This window comes from Homo sapiens, chromosome 11 (assembly GCF_000001405.40).
Source record: "Homo sapiens chromosome 11, GRCh38.p14 Primary Assembly".
Taxonomy (NCBI): domain Eukaryota; kingdom Metazoa; phylum Chordata; class Mammalia; order Primates; family Hominidae; genus Homo; species Homo sapiens.
The window spans coordinates 70,807,565-70,833,896 of record NC_000011.10 but is presented as its reverse complement, the minus strand read 5'-3'; the positions used below and the strand labels follow the sequence as shown (position 1 = coordinate 70,833,896).

The 26,332-nt window shown below is 55.8% G+C and overlaps 1 protein-coding gene across 23 annotated transcripts in view; it reads left to right on the top strand.

Annotated features, from left to right (window-relative positions):
- The window catches only part of SHANK2 (SH3 and multiple ankyrin repeat domains 2), a 785,381-nt gene that overhangs the window by 419,338 nt on the left and 339,711 nt on the right, over nt 1-26,332 (top strand). For 20 of the 23 annotated variants that reach the window (NM_001441030.1, NM_001441032.1, NM_001441037.1 and 17 more), the window contains one exon: nt 13,215-13,533. In NM_001441030.1, the coding sequence (NP_001427959.1) occupies nt 13,215-13,533 (319 nt within the window). Of the gene's footprint in view, nt 1-7,002; nt 7,431-13,214; nt 13,534-26,332 lie in introns of those variants that run through there. The other 3 variants (NM_001441041.1, NM_001441040.1, NM_001379226.1) reach the window with 1 other exon arrangement.

Below are 26,332 nucleotides of genomic sequence, written 5' to 3'. Positions count from 1 at the left end.
TCCTGGCCTGGGTCAGGACCCTGTCTCTAGCGGCCTGATGGCCTTCCACTGCCTGCAGCCACCTGAGCTGCCCAGAGAGACTGAGAATGCCTGTCAGGACCTCCCTCGTCAACAAGCTGTTGTAATAATCACAATAATGAACAGTCAGCAATAATAAACAAACTTCAGTCGTGGTCGTGATGGCAACAGCTAACCTCTGTTGAGCACCCACTGTGCGTAAGTACTGCACCCAGTATGCACTTAACCCCCTGAGCAGCTCCTTGAAGTGACCATCATCACTGTGCTTGCTTTGTTTTTGGGGATCCAGAGTCCAGGGACATTTTGTGACTCATGGACAGTTACCTTGTGGGATTTGAACCCAGAAAGTCCAGCTGCAGATGTTGCAGAGATGCTGTCAGGGTCCCTGGACCAGAGGCCTCCCTGAGAGATGTCGCATGCCCAGCTCTCTTGCCCGAGACCCAGCCTCACGGGCTCTACCGGTCAGGGTCTGGGTCACCAGCAGTAGAGTCCACCCTGGCTTGTTGATGCAGGAGGCAGAAGACTCTGACAGATGTCAGGCGGTCACTGTGCTCCAAGAGGGCTGGAGAGCCAGGCCTGGGAACTGCGGCCAGCCGGGGTGGCCAGTCGGGGCGTCTAGCCACAGGTGGGCTGCATGGAATACCTGGTGCTGTGCACAGTCAGAGGCGCTGGCAGGAGCTTGACATTGTGCTGGAGCCCCGTGCCACACTCGCCGGCTTCTGTGAGTTGCTCCTTCTGCATCAGTGCCTTCCTGGCCCATGTGTCTGATGGGCTCGAACTCGAAACCACAGCAGCTGGGGAAGCTGAGGGATGAGCCCTCACTGTTTCCAGGCAGGACATGGGGTGCAGGGAACTCCAAATGCAGTGAGGACGCTGAGGACGCTGGCCAGGCTGCTCTGCAGATGCAGTGAGGATGCTGAGGACACTGGCTCAGCCACTCTGCAGATGCAGTGAGGATGCTGAGGACAACAGCCTAGCTGCTCTGCAGATGCAGTGAGGACGCTAAGGATGCTGTCCTGGCTGCACCTGCTCGTGGGGCAAGGCGGGGCAGTACAGGCCTTCTCAGGGTCTGGGGCAGCTGGTAGCGTGGCTGTGGCTTAGCCCAAGCCTCCCTGGGCCTCCACTGGGTACATGCAAGGCCCTGGGCAGAAGAGGGGGTGGGGGTAGGGTGGGAGTTGGACAAGGAAGGTGGCTTCTGGCCTCAGGAGAGCAGCACAACTAGAGAGCAGCCTGGTGAACCTAGTAAAGTGCTCTGGAACACTCAGAAAAAAAGCTAGGACTCACCCCCTCTGTTAATTCACTCCATTCATTCATTCATTCATCTCCAGAGCACTAGGGATCACTGCCAGTGTGCAGGGCAGGGAGGAGGGCTGGACACGGAACCTGCCTTTGAGAAGCTGGGAGGCTCCTGGCTCCACAACATGCCCCAAGGGCTGACTGCTGCCACGGGAGCCCTTAGGAGTGGTCTGTCTGCTGCCTGGATCAGTCAGGGAGACTTCCTGGAGGAGGCAGCACCCAGAAGGATAATGTGAATGCATCGTGAGCAATAGACCAGGACTTGTTTATTATAGAGATAGGGCAAAGCAGGAGGATTGCCTTGCTATCCACTTACAGATTTTTTAAAACTTAAATGTATTCATTCAGGGATCACCGACACTGCCTCCAGGTACTACTGTTACAAATATTAACTTACTTTATCCTTATGACTCTCCTGTGAAGTGGCACCATTAATATCCCCATTAAACAGACTAGGAAACAGAGGCACAGAGAGCTCATGGGACTTCTCTGGGCTCACAGAGCTGAGACTTGTCCCCAAAGGTGTCCCCACGGTGTTGCGTGCACCAAGCCCCTCTCCTTTGTGCTTCAAACACGAGCTCGGGTGGCTCCACCCTGTGGGGTAAGTTGTGCTATTCCTACTTTACAGATGGGGAAACTGAGGGTCAGGGGGTGTCCAACCGGCCCATGGCTGCAGGGGGCATGATACAGAGTCAGCACCCAAACCTGCGTCTTGACTCCCACGTCCGGCTCTTTCCAAACCACATGGGCACTGAAGCCACAGCAAGTGGAGGCGGGCGTCTGATCGCCACTGAACGAGGATGTTTCTGAGACCCGTGAGCACCTCTGAGTCTTGCTGGCATGTTTATAACACCTGGTACGGCGTCCCCGCCAGGACTTCAGAGCACCTTGAAATGTTCTGATGTGTGAAGAGCTTTTTTTTTATGCAAGAAGTGAAATTATTTTCAGTCCGTTGTCAGGCAGTTGTCAAAAGACATGGCAAATAAAGGGCTTAGTGAGTCTCAGGGTTTGAGGGGGTGGTGCAGTGTATGGGGTGAGTCTGTGGGATGCCTGTGGGCAGGGGCTGCAGGGAGGGAGGCAAGGGGGCACGGGGCTTTGGATGTCACTGGCTCACGAAGCACCAAGGGCCAGGCACTGGAACTGGGCTGAGTGGAGCTGAGTTGGTGTCTGAAGAGCCAGGTTGGGTGGCTGAGAGTTTGGGGTTCATTTGGGGGTGACCCTTTTCCTTTCTGGAAACTCTGACTTCAGAGCCTCCCTCTCCTCTTTCCTCCTGGTTTTTCATCTGTCCATGGACAACAAACAGACTCAAAAGGTGCTCGCCTGCGTTTTGAGATGGGTGGGCGTGCGGGCAGGCAACAAACAGACTCAAAAGGTGCTTGCCTGAGTTTTGGGACGGGTGGGTGTGCGGGCAGGCAGGCAGGTGGATAGCTTCATCACCAACCACTCACATTGCCACCCTCTCTGCTACCCGCCTGCCCCCAGCCCAACTCACACCTGGAAGTTCTTCCCCTCCAATCTCTCCCTCTTCCAGAATGAAATCCATTTGAAATAAAACCTCATCTGCATTCAGTAGGAATGTGGCCGGCACAAGCCTCCAGGGTCGTTGTAGGCCCTCCACGCAGGACCCCTATAGGAACAGTGGGTCTAAAGGCAGAAGGAAGGGAGTGCTCAGCCATGCTGTGGGCATTTGGGCTCCAATGCGTGGAAACCTATGTGGGTGCAGCAGGGATGTCTGACCCTTCCCAGGCCCTGGGCAGCTTAGCGCTCAGCCTCTCTGAACCTCGTCTGTCTCATCTGACAGCCTTGCTGCTGGTCTCAGGGACCCAGGATGGCAGCTCCACGGGGACATTCCCAAAGCCTGAGGCTTTTCTCAGAGAAGAAGATCTCTGGAAGCCTCCAGGGAAAATGGGTTTTTAAGTTTCATCTTTTATCTTTGTCTTAATTTTCATCTCAACCACTAGCGCTCGGTCATCCTCGGAATACTTGTTTTAGAGATGGGAAGGGCGCTAGCGAATTCCCGGAGTTCTGCGGGAGGCTGTGCACCCGCCTCTGCTTCCCCAGCTCTCCAAGGTCACCTGGTCGGTGGCAGGTTTCTGGGTCTCCGTGGCTTGGAGGGTGAAGGGCCGGGCCTGTGTGCAGATGGCAGGAGAATGCGAACCATCTACCTGGGGCTCAGGGGTGAGCTCGTCTCCTGCAATAACCCCAAGTGTGGATTTCTGGGAGGGCCCGGACCCCAAACACTCACACGGAACATTTGTCCACACAGAACTTCCCTCCCAGCCAGGCAGGCAGGGCAGGCTTCAGGCCACGGACATGCTCATAAAACGAGGGGCAGGAGGAATGCTGATGTTCCCATGGCCACATCCCAGGGCTGGAAGATAAATATTCCCCCAGAAAGGCAGGGATGGGGACACCAGATGAAAACTGCCCTGGAGGCTGCACAAAGGTTTGCGTTTGTCGGGGCAGAGTCTGTGCCTTCAGCGCCAGACTTCTTGGCAAATGAGGAAGTGGTCTGCACCCACCAGGGAAGGGGGCAAGTGGTGGGTGTGGGGGAAGGAGGCTCTTACAGGCTGCTGCCCGCGTCTGACAGTGAGAACCCCTGTGCAAAGGTAGTGAGTCCCCCGTCGCTGGAATTATCCACGGAGAGCCTACCACATGGCCAGGACAGTGGTGTCAAGAATGGCCCAACTCCCTTGGCAGGATTTCTGTGGGGTTGACCAGAAGACCCCGTGTGGCAGAGCCTGGCCCAGGACCGGGCACTCAGTAGGTGTGTGCATGAGACTGATGGAGCCACCACCGCTCCTGATCTTTGTGAATGGTTTACTCAGCCTCCTCCGAGTGTGGGCGGGAAAAGTTGTCTGCTTATTGAAAGAATTGAAGGTGTCTGGAAAAGGGATCCTTTAGCCTGGGGGTGTTCCCTGGATTCCTCAAATCGTCTTGTGTCCAAAGCCTCATCCTGCCCCGCCCCTCACCCCTGCACAGGCTGAGAAGCAGGCCTGGGTCTTCAGATCTGGCTGGCTGTCTTCTGCGCATGCCCCCAAACCAGATGGGACATGGGGTGCAGGGGTGGGGGTGGGCGGGGCAGAGGGACCCCAGGGGTGGAAGCCAGCCGTATTCCTGGTGACGGGGCCTTGTCTTGGGAAGGCTCCTTCCCTTCTCCCTGGGCAGCCCAGGGTTCATGGAACCCCTGCCTGGGCTCCTGCTTGTGGGCAAATGCACCTCCAGGAGCAGCTGCTGCACACGCACCGGACGGTGGCCGCTGAGGGTCCTTTCTGGGCCAGCTGTGAGTGCTGCTGCGTGGCTCCCGTCCAGAGGTTCTGGGTTTTTCTCTGGTTTAGATGGGGCAGGGCCTCTTCTTGGTCCTTTGACATATTTGACATTGGAGGCCCCCGTGAGGGGAAAAAGGCTCCATTTTGTCCCCTGCCTGGTCCACCAGTCAGAACAGATGCAGGATTGTCACATGGTCCCAGGGAGGTGGCTTCTTCCTTACACCCTCCACCCAAGGTCTTCCGTGGCCGGCAAGGCAGCCAAAGATGACAGGACACCGCTGGCCTCAGGCCAAGGGCCATCCTGGCCTCACCAGCCCAGAAACGTGCAGGCTCTCCCCACACCATGGCAGGCCGCAGAGGCAGCAGCGCCGGAGCAGTGATTGGCTCAGAAACTTGGCTTGGGATGAGGCTCTGTGCTTTTGGGAGGGAATCGATCAGTGACAGATGGAGGGGGTGTTGAGCGTCACTGAGTCTCCCCGAGAGTTCCCTGCGCTTTGATGAGTCCTCTGGGCTCACGTGGCTGAGCACACGACCAGCCGGGTCCCCCAGCCTTGGAGGAGCTCCCTGTACACACCAATACGGACACGGTGGCATCCCCGTCTCAGCCTCCCAGCGCTCGCCAGCCAGGGCAGGCAGCCAGGCCAGCACATGGCAATGAACTAGACACTCACCATCTGGAAAGCTTCTGGCCCCCCTGGCTGGTCCACCCGGAGGACACATCGTCAGGCCTCCCGAAGTGGGGGAAAGCTTTGTGCATCCGAGGAGGGTTCTTCTGGAAGCTGTTCAGCCTTGCTCAGAGTGTCCGAGGAGGTGCATGAACTCTGTGGGACACACTGGTGGCTCTGACCTCAGAACCGTTTCTTAATGCAAGTCTTAGAAATGGCTTTGACTCAGTTTTATGAGTCGGTGATGCATGGTAGGGTGAGAATGTCACCCCGGCAGAGTTTTGACATGGCTCATGAGTTGTGTGAGTTAAATAAGAGATGAAGTTTATCGTTATTTCTGGGTTTTTGTGGGGTTTTTTGTTTGTTTTTGGAGACAGTCTTGCTCTATCCCCAGGCTGATGTGCAGTGGTGCAATCATAGCTCATTGGAGCATTGAACTTCTAGGCTCAAGCAATCCTCCTGCCTCAGCCTCCTGAGTAGCTGGGACCACAGGCGCACGACCACACCCGGCTAATGTTTTTAAATTATTTTTCATGGAAACGGGGTCTCACTGTGTTGCCCAGGCTGGTCTCAAATTCCTGGGCTCAAGCAATTCAACCGCCTCCACCTTCCGAAGCACTGGGATTACAGGCGTGAGCCACCGCACCCGGCCAAGAGATGCTGTTCGGGTGCTCAGCTGATATAGGGCGTACACTCAGTGATTCTGTGGCAGTCTCTGCTCTCCCTAAAGCCAGAGGCCCTCACCGAGGCATGCCGCAGTCCCGTCCCTGGTACGCCTTCAGGGAAAGGCTCCTGGGGGGCCCCCAGCCTTCTTGTTCTCACACCGCCATTTTTATTGACACAAAGTGTGTCAACCATATGGAATTAAACTTTAGTGCTCTGGTTGCTTTTTCCTCGTCTTGTCTCGTCTTTCTCTGGTTGTGTGTGTGTGTGTGTGTGTGTGTGTGTGTGTGTGTGTTTTAAATTTCTGAAGCAGTTCTCTTAGCAACCAGAAAAAAAAAAAAAAAAAACACACACACACACACAGCACACTAAATTACAGCCCAGCAGAGGCATCCGGCAACAGAACCTTGCCCCTGGATGCTCCACGTAGCTTCAGGAAGCTCCTTCTCCTGGTGTAGAAATAACTCACTGTCCACCTGCCACAGGGCACCAGCCTGCATCCACTTCTCTGTGTTTGCTTTATAAATCTGACTTTCTCCATGTAGGGCTTCCAAGGGGCAGCTTTCCTCTTTTCTCTTCTTCTGTTGGGTTGGAAATGCTGAGGAAATGCCTAAAGTGACCCTGAAGAGCTCGCTTTTATCAGCTGCCTGGAATCGGGGCCATCCTTGGCAGGGTCTCAGTTTAATTGTCTTTTTATCTCTCTCTTTAAAAAAAAAAAAAAAAAAGTAGGAGGGGGTGGAGTCCTGTTTTTTCCAGGGTAATTACCTCGATGGGTGGGGAGCCAGAGAAGTCATGGGCACTTGTGTCTGATTCTTTTGAACAGAAATATAGGTCGTGTTCAGAAATTCCAGAATGCTGGCCATGTCTGCCCGGGGAACGTGGGTCTGGTGTGAAGCTTATCTGGTACTTGTACGCTTCCCTCCCCCTTGTCTGTCTTACCACATCTGCTAGCTGACAAACAAACTTGGCTTTTTCTTTAAAAAAATTTTTTTTTAAAAAAATAGAAAAGCACAGTGCAGTATATTTAGGCACAGGCGCATGGAGCGCCCAGCACCAGCCCGAGTTTCCTTGGATAACTGGGGCTCGAGCTCACTCATGCCTCCCGGCGTCTCCCAGCTGCCAGCTCGAGGACGCCTGATCCGCGTTAACCCTCCGCGGTGCCTCTTCCTCAATGCCCTGAGCACAAAAGCAGAGTAGCCCGGCTCACATGACGCGCGCCGCGAGAGGTAGCCGGGTTTGAGAGCAGCCCGTCTACGTGCAGTTGGTTCCCAGCTGACAGACAGAATATGGGGTGGGCTTTGTCACCAGCACGCTGGGTCTGGCATGCCCAGCTATGCTCGGAAGTGCACCGTGCCCAGACACCCGCCACCTCTCCCCGGGTCCCAGCTGCTCTAGCACCGAGGGGCCGGGCTGCACGCCTGTCCTTCCTCCCATCCAGGAAGGTTATATAATGAGCGGACCGCTGCCAAAGTCAGAGGGAAAATGAAGTCTTTGTTAAATGCCTTCACCAAGAAGGAAGGTAAGGAAAAAGCTGTCGGGAGCCGGGTGCATGGGAATTAGCAGCTGCTTGCTGATTCTCGGGGTGGGGGAGAGGGAGGACTCCAGTTCCTCCTAAAATTGCCAGTTGTTAATCCCTAGCATGTCAGGGGATAATGACTTTGGTTTGGGATACGGTTTGGTTTGAGTTGGTCCGGAATATAACGCGGTGGAAGGTCTCGCCTTATCGTGTGCTGCTTTCAAACCTTCAGCCCTTGTGGAACTCCATTCCGGAATGGCCATCCGTGGGGACCGTGCCACGGAGTGTGTTAGGAACTAAGTCCTAGGGAAAATAAAGGAAGTTTTGACTATAGTCCTCAGTGACCAGAGGGCTGCTAGGCACTGGCCGAGGCAGGTCGGGGCACATGGCTGGCTGCACCAAATGGGTGGCTACCTTCCGAGCTGCTCCCGGCTCTCCCATCCCGGGGTTGCAGTTACATGGAATGGATGGGAAGGGAGCGTGGCCAACTTTAAAAGTGCACACTCTGTTTGTCATACCTTGTGTAATTTTTATTGTGGGGAAAAAAATGTATAAATAAATGCATGTAAGCCAGCTAAGAAAATATCCACCTATTTAGAGTGCAGATTGCCTAAAAGAAGGAAACAGTTGGGTGGAATATTAATCATTTTCAGACAGAAAACAGTTATTTTTAACCCTTTTCACAAAAAAAAATCATCATTTCCATGGATGGTTCCAGTTAGAGAGTTTTGTCAGAGAGCTCTCATTTTAGGAAATCAGATATCATAAAAAGGTATGACTTTAGAGAAATGAGGAAGGTACTTCCCAGCCCCAGCTCGTTGCAAAATAAACACCAAAGAAATTTCAGTACTCAGGAAACTAATTTAATATGAATCTTGGTAATTACGCGAGGTAATTTTCATTAAAATGTTCACACTGATGTCACCGGTGAGATTTCATTTGAGTAACTTGCGTGGTCTACAGAGTAAAAATGTATTTGAAAATGTCCCAGCTCTTTTATTCCTTAATCCTCCAAGGGTGGCCTCCCCATGTGAATTCTTCCCCCCTCTAAGTCCATACTCTTCTGACAGAGTCTTAGGAATGTATATAAATAACAACCTTTGTCTGTGCCCATTTTCTGACATTATTCACCAAAATTCACCTTCTGGGGTTTCAATTTTTATAATCCATGAACAGCATGAAAATTTCAGTTGGGGGTTTTGGTGTTAGGTTAATTCTGTATCTGTTCTGTTCTTTTATAGACTTTTTTTTTCCTAATGAGTTTATCTTAGCAACTGCCAGGACTCCCCCAAATGCCATCACTTGCTATGAAGAGTATGCATACCTCCCCCAGTTACAAGGGTCAGAAAAAGAGAATTGGCTGCATTGTCGGGGCGGGGAAGCTGGGCGTGAGGCAGTCGGCTGTGGGAGGCAGCGTTTCCGTGACTGGGGGCCCTGTGATGTCTCCTCCACATGGGTAGGGAGAGCCGTGGCCTCTCCTGGGGTGCCCCAGGAAGCTGGGGGCTCTGCGGCTGCTTTCTGCTGGCTGTGTCTGTTTGAGATTTTGGCTCTCACACCAATACAGTCTTCCAACACGTAATCTCTGTAAATGAAAGATAATCGCTCTCTGAGACTGTGGGCTCATCAGCCCTTTGCAAGGTCTTTTAATCCACCCGCCCAGCCCCCTCCAATGACAGGCAGTTCCCGGATCACCCGGAAGCCCTCTGGGCCAGTCGTATCTTTGTAAGCCTCCATGCAAACACTCAGTGATCTACAAGGTTTTTTTTAGTCTCTGCCGGTCCAGAGGGAGGGCACCAACATGGTTTTCCCTCAAGACCAACAAAACAGACTCGGTGACCTGTCCCAGGGATGAGGTTTTTCTCGTGGGTGGTGGCTGTGGATCCCAGGCCAAGCCCCTCGAGGGGCTCTGGAAGGAGAGATGTCCACGGAGAGTGCCGTCAGCTTTTTCCGTTCCTTGTCTCTCCCCGGCCAGCCTGGGTGGCGTTCATGGATCCGTGTGCTTTGAGAAATTAGGAGTGGGATGAAAGTGCTGGCTGAGGAGCCCCGGCTGCTTAGCAGGGCATCTTCAATGACAGAAAGGCTTCACAGAGGAACCAGATCAGAGCAGGTGTGACACCGCGACCTCCCCAATGTACCACCTCCAGGTTCTTACCGACAGCAGGCACTGACGTCCAAGTGTGTCAAGTCCAAGTATCCAACCTCAGGACGCTTTGCGCAGCTCTGTGCGGCTCCCCAGGCTTGGCTCTAGCTCTGTCTCCAGGGCTGCCCTGTGTCCTGGGGAGGTGGGGAAGGTGCGCCGGGTCACAACTGTCTCCCGTGAGCTCTGCCAGCACCCTCCATCCCCCATGAGCTCTGCCAGCACCTCCTCTGCCCTCAGGAGCTCCATCAACGCCACCTCTGTCCTGTGAGCCCTGCCAATGCCATCTTTGTCTTCAATGAAACCTGCCAGCACCACATGTGTCCCTTGTGAGCGCTGCCAGCACCACCTCTGTCCTTGGGAGCTGTCAATACCACCTCTGTACCTGTGAGCTCTGCTAGTGCCACCTTTGTCCTCAGTGAAATCTACCAGCACCACCTTTGTCCTCATGTGCTTTGCCAGTGCCACCTCTGTCCCCCAGGAGCTCTGTCAACGCCACCTCTGTCCCTCATGAACTCGGCCACCGCCACCTCTGCCCCCCATGAATGCTGCCAACGCCACCTCTGTCCCCCATGAACGCTGCCAACGCCACCTCTGTCCCTCATGAGCTCTACTAACACCACCTCTGTCCCTCATGAGTTCTGCCAGCGCCACCTCTGTCCCTCATGAGTTCTGCCAATGCCACCTCTGTCCCCCGTGAATGCTGCCAACGCCACCTCTGTCCCCCGTGAACGCTGCCAACGCCACCTCTGTCCCCCGTGAACGCTGCCAGCGCCACCTCTGTCCCTCATGAACTCTGCCAGCGCCACCTCTGTCCCTCATGAGTTCTGCCAATGCCACCTCTGTCCCCCGTGAACTCTGCCAACGCCACCTCTGTCCCCTATGACCTCTGCCAATGACACCTCTGTCCCCCGAGTTCTGCCAACGCCACCTCTGTCCCCTATGAACTCTGCCAGTGCCACCTCTGTCCCCCATGAGTTCTGCCAACACCACCTCTGTCCCCCATTAACTCTGCCACCGCCACCTCTGTCCCCCATGAACTCTGCCAGCGCCACCTCTGTCCCCCGTGAACTCTGCCAGCGCCACCTCTGTCCCCCGTGAACTCTGCCAGCGCCACCTCTGTCCCCCGTGAGCTCTGCCAGCGCCACCTCTGTCCCCCGTGAGCTCTGCCAGCGCCACCTCTGTCCCCCGTGAGCTCTGCCAGCGCCACCTCTGTCCCCCGTGAGCTCTGCCAGCGCCACCTCTGTCCCCCGTGAGCTCTGCCAGCGCCACCTCTGTCCCCCGTGGGCTCTGCCAACGCCACCTGTCCCCCATGAACTCTGCCAACATCACCTCTGTCCCCCATGGGCTCTGCCAGCGCCACCTCTGTCCCCCGTGACCTCTGCCAGTGCCACCTCTGTCCCCCGTGACCTCTGCCAGTGCCACCTCTGTCCCCCGTGACCTCTGCCAGTGCCACCTCTGCCCCCCGTGACCTCTGCCAACGCCACCTCTGACCCCCATGAGCTCTGCCAGCGCCACCTCTGTCCCCTATGAGCTCTGCCAGCGCCACCTCTGTCCCCCATGACCTCTGCCAGCGCCACCTCTGTCCCCCATGACCTCTGCCAGCGCCACCTCTGTCCCCCATGACCTCTGCCAGCGCCACCTCTGTCCCCCATGGGCTCTGCCAACGCCACCTCTGTCCCCCATGAGCTCTGCCAGTGCCACCTCTGTCCCCCGTGAACTCTGCCAGTGCCACCTCTGTCCCCCGTGAACTCTGCCAGCGCCACCTCTGTCCCCCGTGAACTCTTCCAGCGCCACCTCTGTCCCTCATGAACTCTGCCAACTCCACCTCTGTCCCCTATGAACTCTGCCAGTGCCATCTTTGTCCCTGTGACCTCTGCCAGCACCACCTCTATCCCCCTTGAGTTCTGCCAGCACCATCCATGTCCCCAAGAGCTTCGTCACTGCCACCTGTGTCCTAAACTACTTGTGACGTTCTTCTCCTCTGAGGCATGAAGGTTCCCCCAGACCCAATCCCAGGGAGGACACGTGTTTTCTCTTGCCTTGCAGTTTGTCAGATGGTAGCCCTGGTCCTGTGCAGTGGAAACTTCGGAGCCAAGCGTGGCTTCAGCCTAAGGGCTGAATCCTGTAGCCAGTGAAAAGCTGCTGCAGGCACGATTATCACGGGCCGGGGAGAAGCCCGTGCCTTTGGCCCCCCAGTGATGGTGGTTTCTGCTGTTTCCTGCGGAGCTTGGAGGGCTGCCTTTCAGGAGGTCTTCTTTCTTGGAAAGGGCACTCGCTGTCTTAGGCTCTGGAGCTCTGGGTAAACCAAGGCAGCTGCGGCGTGGCTGCCACCCCTCAAAGCTCCCAGGGGCTGTTGCTGTCATTCTGAGCCCCTGGTCTCATTGAGTGAGGAGAGTGAGGGCCTGGCCCTGTCTAGAGCTTTGTAGGATGCCAGATAAGGGGTGCCCAGCCCCTGCTTCCTCACACAGTCCCCACTTGATGGGAGGGAGGAAGGCACCTTCTTAGTGAGGACTGAGATTGAATCATCCAGCCAGTGGACTCGGAGACTGTATGGTTGGCTCAGGCGTGGCAGAGCGCCACAGACAGGTGGCTTAAACTCCAGATATTGGCCGGGCACGGTGGCTCATGCCTGTAATCTCAGTACTTTGGGTGGCTGAGGCAGGCGGATCACAAGATCGGGAGTTCGAGACCAGCCTGGCCAACATGGTGAAACCTCATCTCTACTAAAAATACAAAAATTAGCAGGCGTGGTGGCGGGCACCTGTAATCCCAGCTACTTGGGAGCCTGAGGCAGGAGAATTGTTTGAGCCTGGGAGGCGGAGGCTGCAGTGAGCCGAGGTCGTGCCACTGCACTGTAGCCTGGGTGACAGGGCGAAACCCTGTCTCAAAAACAACAACAACAACAACAAAACAACCAGATATTTACACCTCCCAGTCCTGGGGACTACAAGTCTGAGATCAGGGCATCGCAGGGCTGGTTCCTCCTGAGGCCTCTCTTGATGGCTTGCAGGTGCCACCTTCTCCCTGTGTCCTCACGGGGTCATCCCTGTGTGTGTGTCTGTGTCCTCATCGCCTCTTCTTATAAGGACCCCAATCCTATGGGATCAGGGCCCCCACTAATGGCCCTCCACCCAGATGATCTCTGTAAAGACCTTACCTGCAAATATTGGCACATTTTGAAAACTGGGGTTTAGGACGTCAACACACGAACTTGGGGGACACAGTTCAGCCCACCCCAGAGGCTCAACTTAGGTTGTGGGGAGGAGGCATCTTGCGGCAGGCAGCTCAGTGCCCTCTCTGCTTTGTGTGATGGGGTGGCCCGTCCTTACACATGCCCAAGCCAGCCGGACGTCTCCCAGGCCAGATGGAAGCTCAGACCCCACGTCCCTTCCATGCGAAGTACTGGCTTGAGCTCCGTGCCGTGGAGATGTTCTCCGTCCCCAGCCTGTCTCTCTGCTTCCATGTCAGGGGTGAGTTCTGGGCCTGGTGGAGTCCAGCTGGGGTCTCGGCCCAGAACTCACAGCTCCCCTCTGCTGGGCTCGCATGGGGGCTTGGACGCACGCAGGCCTGCACCTCCCTAGGGTCCCCACCCAGCTGACCACGACACAGATGCACTCACCGGCCTCTCTCCATGTCCTTCTCCCCAGTGCCCTTCCGAGAGGCCCCGGCGTACTCCAACCGCCGGCGGCGGCCCCCCAACACGCTGGCCGCCCCCCGGGTCCTGCTGCGCTCCAACAGTGACAACAACCTCAATGCCAGCGCTCCCGACTGGGCCGTCTGCTCCACGGCCACCTCGCACCGCAGCCTGTCACCCCAGCTGCTGCAGCAGATGCCCAGCAAGCCCGAGGGGGCCGCGAAGACCATTGGGAGCTACGTGCCCGGGCCCCGCAGCCGGTCCCCATCGCTCAACAGGCTGGGCGGCGCAGGCGAGGACGGCAAGAGGCCGCAGCCTCTCTGGCATGTCGGGTAAGGAGTGGCAGACGCCAAGGGAAGGAAGACCGCCACGTGCTGGGGGTCCCAGCTCCTCCAACTTGGGGTGGCCCAGAAGTTGAGCAGGAAGCCCATTTTATTCCAACCCAGATGTTGAGGAAACTTTCATGCCTGAGTTTTGCTCACTGTCCCTGCTGGCACGGTCTCCCCTTGGGGGGCTGGGGTCACCTTCCCGAGCCTCATGGAGGCACACGATGAAAGCTCGGGGCAGGTGTGCAGGCTGAGCTGAGCATCCTGGGGTGGACTGGGGATACTGCTGGCCTCTCGGGTCCTGTTTCCTTTCCTTGTGTACTGACTTCTTGGTCCTAAGTGAAATGTCAAGAGGGAGAGAGGCAGGGCTGCAAGCCTGGTCAGGGGTGTGTGCCCTCCCGAGGGCCATGTTTGCAAGCCTGCAAACACACCTTATCCAAATTGAGGGTGCACACGTGGGTGGCAGGGAGAAACCCAGCCCAGAGGAGAATGCTGGGGGCCGGAGAGGCCGGCTCAGGGCTCTGGCGTCTGGCTGTCTCAGCAGCTGCAGGGATGGTCTCAGGTAGCGCTAACCCTCAGGGGAGCACTTGCAGGCCTGGGTCCAGCATGGCAGGAGCACAGAGGGCATGTCTGTCAGTCTCTGAAGCAGCCCCAGGTGACAGGAGCCTGTGCCTCGTTCCATTTCCTAGACAAGGACATGGGCAGCATAGGGCAGACTTTGGGAACTGCCTGTGGTCTCCTGCCCAGCACCCCATTCGGCGTCCAACTCCAGGTCTGGGTCTCTCCCCACCCTCCTGCCTCCCAAGCAGCCAGGGGAGCTGGATTTGCACTCAGAGCTCCAACTCCCAAGCAGGTCTCTGCCTTTCTCACGCCACCTCCCAGAATTTTCAGTCGAGGAAGAGACTTCCCAGGGATCAGCTCATTGTCGGGGCCCCAGGTGCTAGGGTTGGTGTCGGTTCCAGCCACGAAAGCTGCACCTGCAGGGGCAGTGGCCGTTGCCACCGATGCCTCCACATTCTCATGGGTACAGCTGCTCCAGGAGTTCACTGTGCTGGCTTCTTTGCTGCAGACGCCTCTATGAGGAGCCCGAGGTCACACAGCCAGAACGTAGCAAGGGCAGGACTCGGCACAGGCCCCTGGCTCTGGCATCTGGTGACTTGGCACTCCCTCAGATTTGGGCCTTGGACCCGTGCTTCCCCGGCCGTTGCCATGTTTTTGGTGATGTCGGCATTCAGTGCTGAGGCCCCTGACCCTCGCCCCCATCCTACATGCTTCCTGTTTCCTCCCTGGCCTCAAAGCCACTCGGGGTCCAGAGCCTGGCTGCGGGGAGTCTTGCAGGCCTGGGTCATGCTCTGTTGCCAGCTAAGGTCAGGGATGTCAGGGAGGAAGACCGCCACCACCCCTGCCCCCAGGGGCTCCACCTGGCAAGCTCCGTGTGAGTTTGAGGAGGGTCAGTGCCTCACGTGGTCCCAGGAGGGGCTGATCACCCTGACTATGACCAGCAGCCCAGGCTTTGGGGCCACAGCCAAGGAGTTTGTGGGGAGAACATGCCGGTGAGAGCCCACTTCTCCCGGCCCCTAGACAGGGTCGAGGCCTGATCCTCTTAGAGCTGGCAGACCCCACGTCCTCTCAACGCTTTGGCCTTTAGCCCACAGACGCTTCCCACCAGAGCCAAACAAGGAGGTCCAGCTGCTTCTGGTCTAGATTCCTGCTTGGAAGGACCCCAAGGGAGGAGTCCCAGGTGCTGAGAACAATGGGAAGCTAAATTAAAGGGCTCCCCCGAGGCAGCCAATTCCACTTCACACACTTAGCAAGACTTCTGACTACAGTTTTAAAAAGAGTGTGTCCCCTTCACCCAGTACAAAATCTAATAAGACAGCAAAGGCAGCGTGGCCAGGGACTTGAGCTGGCTGCAGACTAGATGTGCTAGATGTGGCTCGGGAAAGAGAGAAGCAGCCGGGTGTATTGCAGCTGCGGTCTGACCATCCCTGTTTCCCTGTTCATGTGTGAGGAACGGGGGACAGAATGCACATGTGTGTGTGCATGTGTGTATGTGTTTGTGTATGCCTGTGTATGTATGTGCATGCATTTTTGTGTTTTTTTGGTCTGTGTGCATTTGCCTGTGTGCATGCTGGTGTGTAGACATGCGCGTGCATGTTAGAGAGAGAATCATTGTGTATGTGTGTGTGTGTGGTCATCATGGTGGCCAGCCTGCCTCAAATGCTCATTGCCTGGCCTCCTGCATACACGCTTCTGTACTGTACCATTGTATAGCTGCATAACCTTGGGCAGGTAAAACCCAATCTGCCTAATCTTTGTCAATTATAAAACAAGGGACCAGGTGCGGTAGCTCACACCTGTAATCCTAGCACTTTGGGAGACCAAGGCAGGCAGATCACTTGAGGTCAGGAGTTTGAGACCAGCCTGGCTAACATGGTGAAACCCCATCTCTACTAAAAATACAAAAATTAGTTGAATGTGGTGGCGCATGCCTGTAATCCCAGCTACTCAGGAGACTGAGACAGGAGAATCGCTCTAACCTGGGAGGCGGAGGTTGCAGTGAGCTGAGATGGCACCACTGCACTCCGGCCTGAGTGACAGAGCGAGACTCCATCTCAAAAAAGGGTCCCAGAAAGACCAACTTCAGGTTTTTCTCAAGATCAGCTGAAGGCGTTCAGGGTGGCCGCCTCCCACAGCACCTTGTCCAGCCAGTGCGCATTCCACATTGGTTCTTAGAGCCCAGGTCCATGTCCAACCCAAGACCCAGAGCTCGGCCAAGACTGTCCCCTTTGTCACCTAGAACCGTTGGTAGAGTGACCAACCATTCAGGTTTGCCTGTGATGTGGGACTTTCAGTGCTAAAATCAGGACAGCCAGTCCCCCTAACTGTGGGCCACTGCCTGTCCCAAGTCGAGGGGCACTGCTCTTACCTGGTGGCCCTGACCCGTCAGTCCCTTCTTTCTTGGCCTTGTTCCATCTTCCCTTTCCCCACCCCTTCACAGCCTCCCTGTCCATATCCATCTGTCCAGGATTCAGCATCCTCAATGGTAGCAATAGCTGTGCTGTAGGAGGAACCCTCTGGATGGGCACTGATGAGCTGAGAGGTCCTTCCCTTAAGACCCGTGTCCTAACTAGGACCTGCCAGTGGCACTGACGTCCCCTCCTATGGGACAGCAGTGGTGAGCATTTGCCTTCGAGGCGACCAGGTGGGATGGAGAGTTGGAGGCAGGCATGCTTCTCCAGGCATCTTTTTGAGGTCCCCTGGGATGAGGGTGGGGCATGCAGGTGCCACTGTTGTGTTCTGTCCCTGCATAGGGCCATATGCATTCGGGGGGCAGAAGTGTCTTTGCACGGTGAGAGGCACAGAAGGGAGCCAGTTCACTGCACATTGTTTGCTTATGGAGCAGTTACCCAGGCCCATGCTGGGCGCAGGGACATTCAGGTGACATAGCCGGGGTGCAAAGGCTGGTGCCCTGAGCACACTTGGTCTGAATGTCCTGCAAACAAGGTACAGCCAGGGGAGGGGGGCCTGGCTAGAGCTGTCTGCTTCCTGGCTGTGGACCGAGGCCCCATTGTGGAAGTGGCCTTTATTGAGATAGGGAAACGCTCATTCGGCCAGCCCTGGTGATGCTGGATGGTGGATCACAGGACTGTGCAACCCAACCCAGGGCCTTTTGGAGGCTCCAGGAGGTGGCTGAGCCCCTCTGCTCCTTGTTCATCCTCGAAGCTCAAAGCTCAGCCCCATGCCTTGTGCGCCTGCCTTACTATTCCTGAAAAACCAGCTCTTTCCTAGGGCAACGGGCCCTGGCCATGTGGCACTAACGGGCCACTTTCAGGGAGGCTGCTAGCTCCCAGCCTCTGGGGGCCCTGGGTGACCCAGAGCTCTTTCTGGTTACCATCAGAAGCATAAGTGACAGCGTGCTCTCCCTGCCGTGGAGGGGAAAGCCCTCCCCACTTCCTCCTGTCTGAAGGGTGGAGCAGCTGCCCATCAGCCCATGCTGAGCAACCGGTGCTGAACATCCCCCAAGCAGTGCTGACCGCCAGGGCTACCTGGCTCTACCCACCCGCCAGCTGACCTTGGGCAAGTCACTTGCTGGTTCTGTGCCTCTGTTTTCTCCTGTGTAAAGTGGGGCTGATGACTTTCACCCCCTCCCGAGTGTGCTGGGTGGATTAAGTGGCTTTCAGCACCTGGCCTGCACTGACATCCACAGCTGCTCATAGACAGTCTTCGGTTCTGCAGAAACGTCGGCCACTCTTAGGGTCGTCTTCATCTTCATCCTTATTGTGGACAGTGTAGAAAGACCCCGCTGGCTGCCATGGGGCAGGGAGCACAGGGTATCAGGTGTTATTGTCCCGGTGGCAGAGGCCTGTGTGGGCTAAGAAGCAGGGGAAGCAGAGATGGCCAGGTAGGAGGAGGCCGACTGTCCTGGGCAGGGAGGCGACTGGCCAGGTCCCCTGTCCCTCTGCACATGCTCAGCACCCCTCTTGGGCCAGACCTATTTGCCTAAACGCTGACCCAAAGCCCCAGAAACCTTGGCCAGGACTGCAGTGGGCGTGGCAGTGTGGTCAGAACCAGCCTCAGGTCACACCCTCAAGTGCAGCCTTGATGGGGTTCAGGGAGGCCTCCCAGCCTCCCCAGGGCCCCCACCGGGACTCCTGCTGGCACCAAGCAACCCAGTGCCTCCTGGCCTGGGCTCAGAGCTGTAGGCAGGGTCTGCTTCCTGCATGGAGGTGCCAACCCTGGTTCGAAGCTGCCCTGAGCCAGCTTGCACAATGGCGAGCGCCCCAAGGAGCTCACCGGGCCCAGCCTGGGAGCTGGTGTTGCAGTGATGGTGTAACAGGAAGGGGGCTGCAAGGGGTGTGAGGGGGCCGATCTGTGGATGGTGAGTGTCCGCTGGGAGGTGAGGGCTGTTAGTGGAGACACCACAGGGTCCCTCGCTGCCCATCACTGCACAAGCCCCTCCCAGGTGAGCCAGAGCCTGTGGCAGGGCTGTCCCTCTGAGACAGAGAGAGGAACACGCCCCACACTTGTCCCTGCCCCCATCCTCCCCCACAGTCTCTCCTGCCTACCTGTCCACCTGTCCCTTGGCCTGTGTTCTTCCTTCCTCCCTGTGCCTCCTCCTTCTCATTTTCGTGTGTGTGTGTGTGTGTGTGTGTGTGTGTGTGTGTGTGTGTGTGTGTGTGTGTGTGTGTGTTTCTTCTCCCATCCTCCTAAAGGTGCTGGTCCGGGAGGGTAGGAGCCAGTGCACCTGCACACCTCTGCTCCCTCAGGTGTGAGGCTCAGCCAGCTCCGCCCCTGGGGGCGCCCTCTGGTGGCGTCCACTGGCACTGCTGGACCACTGTCCTGAGAACATTCCTGAGACACCTGAGTCCCTGCTCTGGGAGTGTGTGGGGTGGGGGCATCCCTGTTCCTTCTGGGTCTCTCCCAGCTGCCAAGGGGCTGGTTGGCCTTCCCGGGTTCAGAACAACTCTGGATGTATTTCTACAAAGTGGCAGCCAGTCCCAAGGGCTGCCCTGGCCTCACCCACCAGGGAATGTCCTGGCCACCCTCTCCTTCAAGAACGTTGCTTGGGTGGGGTCAGCTCAGCAGGAAAGAAGGACTCATGCTTTTGAGTTCAGTTGGTGGAGATGAATGCTGCCGCCCTGTCCATGCGTCGTCCATTGCACGCATGAAAGAGCGGCACCCACCTGGCCACACAGGCAGGGGCTGGACCCCGGCAGGACCCAGTGGGGCTCTGGGAAGCCCGTCTTTGGCCCAGTGGCCTCTGTTTTCCTGAAACTGGCATGGGAACTGAGGTGCAGCTGCGTTCAGGGTTTCAGGCGGATGAAATGGGCAGAAGGGGCCTTGGCCGCCCAGGGACACTGCTGGAGTGGGGCCCGCAGAGGGGCTTCAAGTCAGTGCCAGGACTGCGGCTCCTGCTTGCCCTCCTGTGCCCCATCATCCTGACCTAGAAAGTGGGGGTGGCTGGGCCCTGCTGGCAGAGTAGGGGTGAGGTGTGGAATTGGGAGCTCTCCCGGTGGCCCTGACTTTCTTTTTTTTTTTTTTGAGACAGAGTCTCACTCTTGTCACCCAGGCTGGAGTGCAGTGTCACGATCTTGACTCACTGAAACCTCCACCTCCCAGGTTCAAGCGATTCTCCTGCCTCAGCTTCCCAGGTAGCTGGGCTTATAGGCATGCTCCACCATACTCAGCTAAGTTTTGTATTTTTAGTAGAGATGGGGTTGCGCCATGTTGGCCAGGCTGGTCTCCAACTCCTGATGTCAGGTGATCCAGCTGCCTCAGCCTGCCAAAGTGCTGGGATTACAGGGGTGAGCCACCATGCCCAGCCTGACTTTCACCTGTGCCCAGGGTTAGTCTGGCAGACAGCCGGGGCCAGATGGAGGGGTAGCCGGTGTCCTGTGTCCGTCCCTGAAGCAGTCATTGCAGCCAGCAAGGTGAGACATTGTGAATAATCCTAAGTCCCTGTCGTGCATCCTCAGAGATGCCGTCACCAGAATCACAGAGGCAGCGTGAAGCCCTCAGGCCCGAGACGCACAGGGCTTGGGTGCGGGCTGACTTTCACAGTCCTGGGAAGCCAGGGAGGGAGGTGATATTGACCAGACAGGAGATGACACAGGACCTGAGCCTTCAACTTTAAAACAACTGTCAGCCAATAGCATTTAGTAACATTTGACAGACGCTAAGGGCTTGGGAACTCCTGCGTTTGCTGTGCTGCCCTCTGTGCCAGAGACCTGAGCTGACAGCTTTCTCTATTCCCCTACTGCCATCTTCTGCGTGAGCCGTAACCTGGAAGACACACCCACCTACCCACCTTGAGTAGGTCCCAGGCCTGGGTGATTGTGCCTCTTGAAACCTCCAACTTTCTCACAATTCTACACATCAGGGGCTCCCCTAGCTCCCCTGGGATGGCCACAGGGGCCCTCAATGGGGCTCCCCACCTCCACCTTCTGTCTGCTCCGGTCCAGCCTTGAGGCTGCATCCAGGGTGAGCTGGTGCTCGTTCACTGGCACCACTGCGCCGTGTGGCATCCATTTCTCCCCGAACATCCCTGCAGAGCCTTTCCCGTGCCCTTGCCCTTCTCTCTGCACTACCCAGCTGTCCCCTCTTGTAGCCTTTTGTGGGTAGGCCCTGTGGACTCTAACCCTGACCTCAAGTCCTGGCCCTGTTCTCTGTGCTGACCCCTCAGATGGGCGGAAATGCATCTGCTGACCTGTGCTTCTGCCCAGTTGACCGTCAGCTCCCTGAGGCCTGCATCCGTGTCTACCATTCACGGGGGTCTGCAGACCCACATGGCGATGGGCTCACAGCCCACCCGCAGAGTACTTGCTGGATGAATGAATGAATGTGTAACTGACTGGTGAATGAATGAATGGAGAAAGGTCAGTATGTCGGCCAGTTCCTGTTCACCCAGGCTGGCTGGGAAATGGCCCAACTCACTGATCCAAGTCACCCCACCGAGAAGATTACCAATTTTTTCATTTTAAGAATTCAGTGATTTGGCCCTTATACCAAAACAAGTTGGTTAGAATCCCTCCTGGCTGTTCTTGGCCAGAACATAAGGAAAACATGGACAGTTTGGGATGCAGGAACTTCAGACCAGTCCTCACTGTGCAGGCAGGACAGCAGGAGGGACCCCCAGCGTGGCCCGGGTGCCATGTCTCCTGAGCGGGGCAGCCCTTCTCCCTGGGCTGCAGAGGTCTGGCTTCTGCTGCTGACTATGGCTGCTGTGGGAAGAGTGGGACCTGGCAGGAGGATGTAGTTCATCAAATGAGACATCACAAGGATAAGACACCTTGTAGCAGGTGAGATCTTGTTCACCTCATTCTGTCACCAGACAGAGCAGGGAACCCCGAGCTAGGATGTGAGGACCAGCTCTGTATTTCCATACCCAAGTCACCATTTATGGAGCCTCCATTTTCTCACCTGTAAAATGGGGACAAAAGTTTTCACCTTCTGCCTTTGTGGGACTTTTTGAGGTTCAAATTAACAGTGAATAAGAAGACATGTGAGCATTTGGCTGGAACCGTATGTCACTGCCCGGTAATCACTGCCTGCAACCGTGTACACCACTCTGGTCTAGAAGAAATAAGGCTTTCCTGTTTTTAGATAAAGGTTCCCCAGGCTCTGGGGTTGATGGGTTAGGGAACTGATTCCTGCAAAGAGAATCAAGAAACAGAGCTTCAAGGTTGGAGCTGTGTTCACTTTGACTTCTCTGTCAAGTGACACGCACTCTGGTGCCAGCTGGACCAGTGAGGTGAGACAGGCACTTTGTTACTGACTTTGCAGCTGCAGCAGGGCAGTGTGAAGGTGCTGATGTTTGCATAACACCTGGCAGAGTGCGTTATCACAGTTACTCCTGATCATCCGCTTTTTTGATGGGGAGGTTGAGGCTTTGAGAGGTAGCTAACTTGTCCAATGATGGATAGTAAGTGTTCAGCTGGGCTTCAGGCAAGATCTTTCTGAACTTTGGGTAGATGAGTGAATAGATGTTCAGAAAAATGATAAGATGGATGGGTGGATGGGTAGATGCATGGATGAATGAATGGTGGATGGATGGGTAGATGGATGATGGATGATGAATACATGATGGATGGATGGCTGGATGGTGGATGGATAGATGATGGATGAATGGATGGGTAGATGGATGGATAAATGAATGGTGGATGGATGGGTAGATGGATGTTGGATGAATGGATGGATGAATAGATGATGGATGGATGGATGGATGGATGAGTGGATGGATGATGGATAGGTAGATGATGAGTGGATGGATGGGTGGATGGATGGGTAGATGGATGGATGGATGGATCGATGATGGATAGTGGGTGGATGAGTGGGTGGGTGGATGGATGGAAGAACAGGTATTTGGGCAAGGAGGCCTGGATGGATAACAAAGAAGAGATGAGTGGATGGATTAATTCTGATGAAGTTAACTGACTTCTCAAGCAGGGCAGGCTCAGTGTCCCTTGCCGGCTGCTGTTGAGGATGCACAGTGGGGCCGTGGGGTTCCTTGCAGGAGCTCTTTGGGTGTGGAAATCCTGAGAAGACGCACTCCTCATTTGGTTCCTAAGTTCTGGACTTAAGCAGCTGCTGTGTCAGACACATAACAGTTGTGAACAGACCCTGTGACTCCTGCTCTGTGGCTCACCCTCTGCCCTGCCCCAGCTACTGTCAGCCTTGTTCATCTGATTTTTCCTCTAGACTTTGACCCACCCTTTCCCCTCGGGAGGAAGCCCACAAGCCTCACCTTGCTCCCCCTGGAGTCAACCTATCCGGGTGCTTGGGGACTGATCATGGGGCTGGGCTGACCTGACCTGCAGCCACTCCACCTGCTGAAGAGCATCCATGCAGCCCAGGGGACACTGGGGCCACCTGTGACCTCATCACTAGGACTAACCTTCAGTCCTGATGGGGCCTAATGCATCCAGCTCCTCCAATCGCCCATGTCGCATCACCGGCCAGGAGAGGGGGTTGAGATGATGTCGGCATAGCCCTGTGTTCTGGCTGCTGCCGGTCCAGCCTGGATAATGGTCAATGCAGAGACAGTGACTGCCCTCGGAGCTGCAGCGGGGCTGGGAACTGAGCTTCTCATCTGCATTTTCTCATTAGTCTCCCAGCAACCACAGGTGGTGGGGATTCGCCCTACCCCCACCCTCTACCACCTATTTTACAAATAAGAAAATTAAGGCTCAGAGAGGTAAAGTGACTCACTGAAGGTCACACAGCTGGGGCAGGTCAGCCTGGGAGTGACGGGAGGTTCAGGCCGTCCACAGAGCCCATGATGGCCGCCAGCCTTGCTGGCTTCATCACTCGGGGCAGATGTGGGCAGGTGCATTAAGGGAAGTTCAAGGAGAGGAGGGATTCTGACCCTGGGGTGCTGTATTCTCCTTGGAGTCCCTTGGTTGCCGGGATTCTCCTCCCCGCATCCCTGCTGGCCTGGGAGCCAGAGAGGAGACAGCCGTGAGACGCTCAGTGCCTGCGGTACAGGCTCCCACCCCTCCCAGCTCTCGGTCCTGTGCCAGTCCAGCCCTGCCTGAGTCAGGCTGAGTTGAATGTGTCTGAGTGCTGGTACACGTGCAGATGGCTGGGCAGGCTGGCAGGGAAGCCTCTCAGGTGGGGGCCTGGCCCAGCGCTGCTGTTGCGTTCATCAGCTCCCCTTGCAGAGCAGGAAGTGCCCAGTGTCCTTTCCCTCTGCTCCCTGGTGGCTCACTGAGCTATGCCTTTGGACAAGAGGAGGCCACCAAACCTAGCTTTTGCAGGAGTTCCTGCTCCAGGAACTCCTGGGGTGTTTGGGGATAGATGATGTCCATCGATGGGGAACAGTGGTCCTTTGGAATTCTCCTGGCTGTGCACATCGATGCACTGCTGTGCCACACCGTGCCCGGTGGGCTCCATATTGTGCCCAGGCTGCATGGCAGTGACAGCTCAGAGACACCTGTGCCCCCAGGAGTCTGTGACTGCCACATTTGTGGCTGTGACTTGGGGGAGGAATGGCATCCCTAGGGACAGGGGACAGGGAAGTCCTAGCTGCTTGCAGCCTCCCCCATCTCTCAATGTCCTCAGAGCCCAGGTAAGCATCCAAGACGCCCACCTGTTCCAGAAGAGGCCACTGTCCTGCCCTGTCTCTGCTCCCCATGGTTTCAGGACAAATCTGAGATTTGGAGTCAGGCAGACAGACTGAGTATTCAGGCCCAATCTGCTCCCTACAGAGTAATCGGAGTACATGGAGCCCTGGCTCCTCAAACACGTTGACATGGGTAAGGTCCCCATGGCCAGATCTCACCATCCTAATGCTGAGAGAAGGAGTAAGAATCAGAACTAAATACAGCCCCATTGCCCTTCTGTAACTTTATACAAGCACAGAGCAAACTATAAGGCAATTATCAGGGACACATGAGTCGGGTGATTACAGTAGTGAAGGCAGGTGATCAGGGGGAGGCTTATGTTAAATGCCAAAAGAGGGTAGTCACATCCGCTTCTAGAACTTTCCCTGCAAGCCTGTTTTGCATGGGTCCCTGTGTGCATGGGCCCTTCCTCCCTGTCCTCATAGAAAGACTGATGCTGCCTCCATCGCCTCAGAGGCCACAGCACCTAAAGTTTGGGAGGGGAACCATGGTCAGAGACCACTCGCTTCCCTGCAGCCAGGCGCCCTGTTGGAGGATGCCAGCCGCAGGTGGACACTTTCCCTGTCTTTCTGAGCATGTGCCCGGGAGGGCCGTCCTGAATTTCTGGCCAACTTCCTCCGTGTAGATGCGTTTGTTTCTAAGGACGCCCGTCCTGGCACTGTGTAGGTGCATCTCAGAGTACTTTGTGTTGCGTGTCCTGTCTCTGGGCCCTGTTAAGGTGTGTCTTACTGTCGGGTGTAGAAGTCAGGTTGAAAACATAGCTCTGTGCAAAATCAATGACATACAGCAAGAACGGATATGAGTTCCTCTAGCGTGGTTCGCTGGGGCCGCTGGGAACTGCACTGGGAGAACCGAGGTCGTGACCCATTTTGATGGAAGGCCCTGGGTGCTTCCTCGTCCAGTGTGACTGACGCTCACAGTGAGGTGGATGAAGTGTCGGACACCCATGGCCTTCCTGGATTTCTGTCTCCACCTGAGTCTCTTTGGGATTTGTTTGTTTTTGTTTTTTTGAGACAGGATCTCACTCTGTCACCCAGGCTGGAGTGCAGTGGCACAATCATGGCTCACTGCAGCCGCGACCTCCTGGCCACAAGCAATCCTCCCACCTGAGCCTCCCAAGGAGCGAGAACCACAAATGCACAGCACCATGCCTGGCCAATTTTTTTTTTTTTTTTTTTTTTTTGTAGAAATAGGGTTTCATCATGTTGCCCAGGCTAGTCTTTTTTAAAATAGTGGCAAAATAGGCCAGGTGCGGTGTCTCACACCTGTAACTTCAGCACTTTGGGAGGCCGAGGCAGGTGGATCATTTGAGGCCAGAACTTTGAGACCATCCTGGTGAACATGGTGAAACCGCATCTCTACTAAAAATACAAAAAGTAGCCAGGCATGGTGGCGGGCACCTGTAATCCCAGGTACTCAGGAGGCTGAGGCAGGAGAATCGCTTGAACCTGGGAGGCAGAGGTTGCAGTGAGCCGAGATCATGCCACTGCAGTCCCGCGTGGGTGACAGAGGGAGACTTTGTCTCAAATAAATAAATAAAATGAAGTAAAATAGTGGAGAAATAGGTGTAACATCAAATTTATCACCTTAGAACCATTTTGAAGTGCACAGTTCAGTGGCGTTCAGTGGAATACATTCGAGTGCTGTGCAGCCATCACCACCATCCATCTCCAGAACCTTCTCATCTTGTGAAACCAAAACTCTGTCCCCATTGAACCCTCACTCCCCATTCTCTCCACCAGCCCCCGGCACCCGCCATTCTACTTTCTGTGTCCATGAATCTGACTGCTCTCGGGCCCTCGCATGGCTGGGATCACACAGTCTGTGTTCTTTTGTGTCTGGTGTATCTCACTGAGCAGTGTCCCCAAGGTTCACCCATGGTGTAGCCTGTGTCACAGTTTACTTTTTTTTTTTGGAGACAGAGTCTCACTCTGTCACCCAGGCTGGAGTGCAATGGTGCAGTCTTGGCTCACCGCAACCTCCGCCTCCCAGGTTTAAGCAATTCTCCTGCCTCAGCCTCTCCAGTAGCCCGGATTACAGGTGCTCACCACCACACCCTGCTATTTTTTGAATTTTTAGTACCAACGAGGTTTCACCATGTTGGCCGTGCTGGTCCCGAACTCGTGATCTCAGGTGGTCTGCCCACCTCAGCCTCCCAAAGTGCTGGGATTACAGATGTG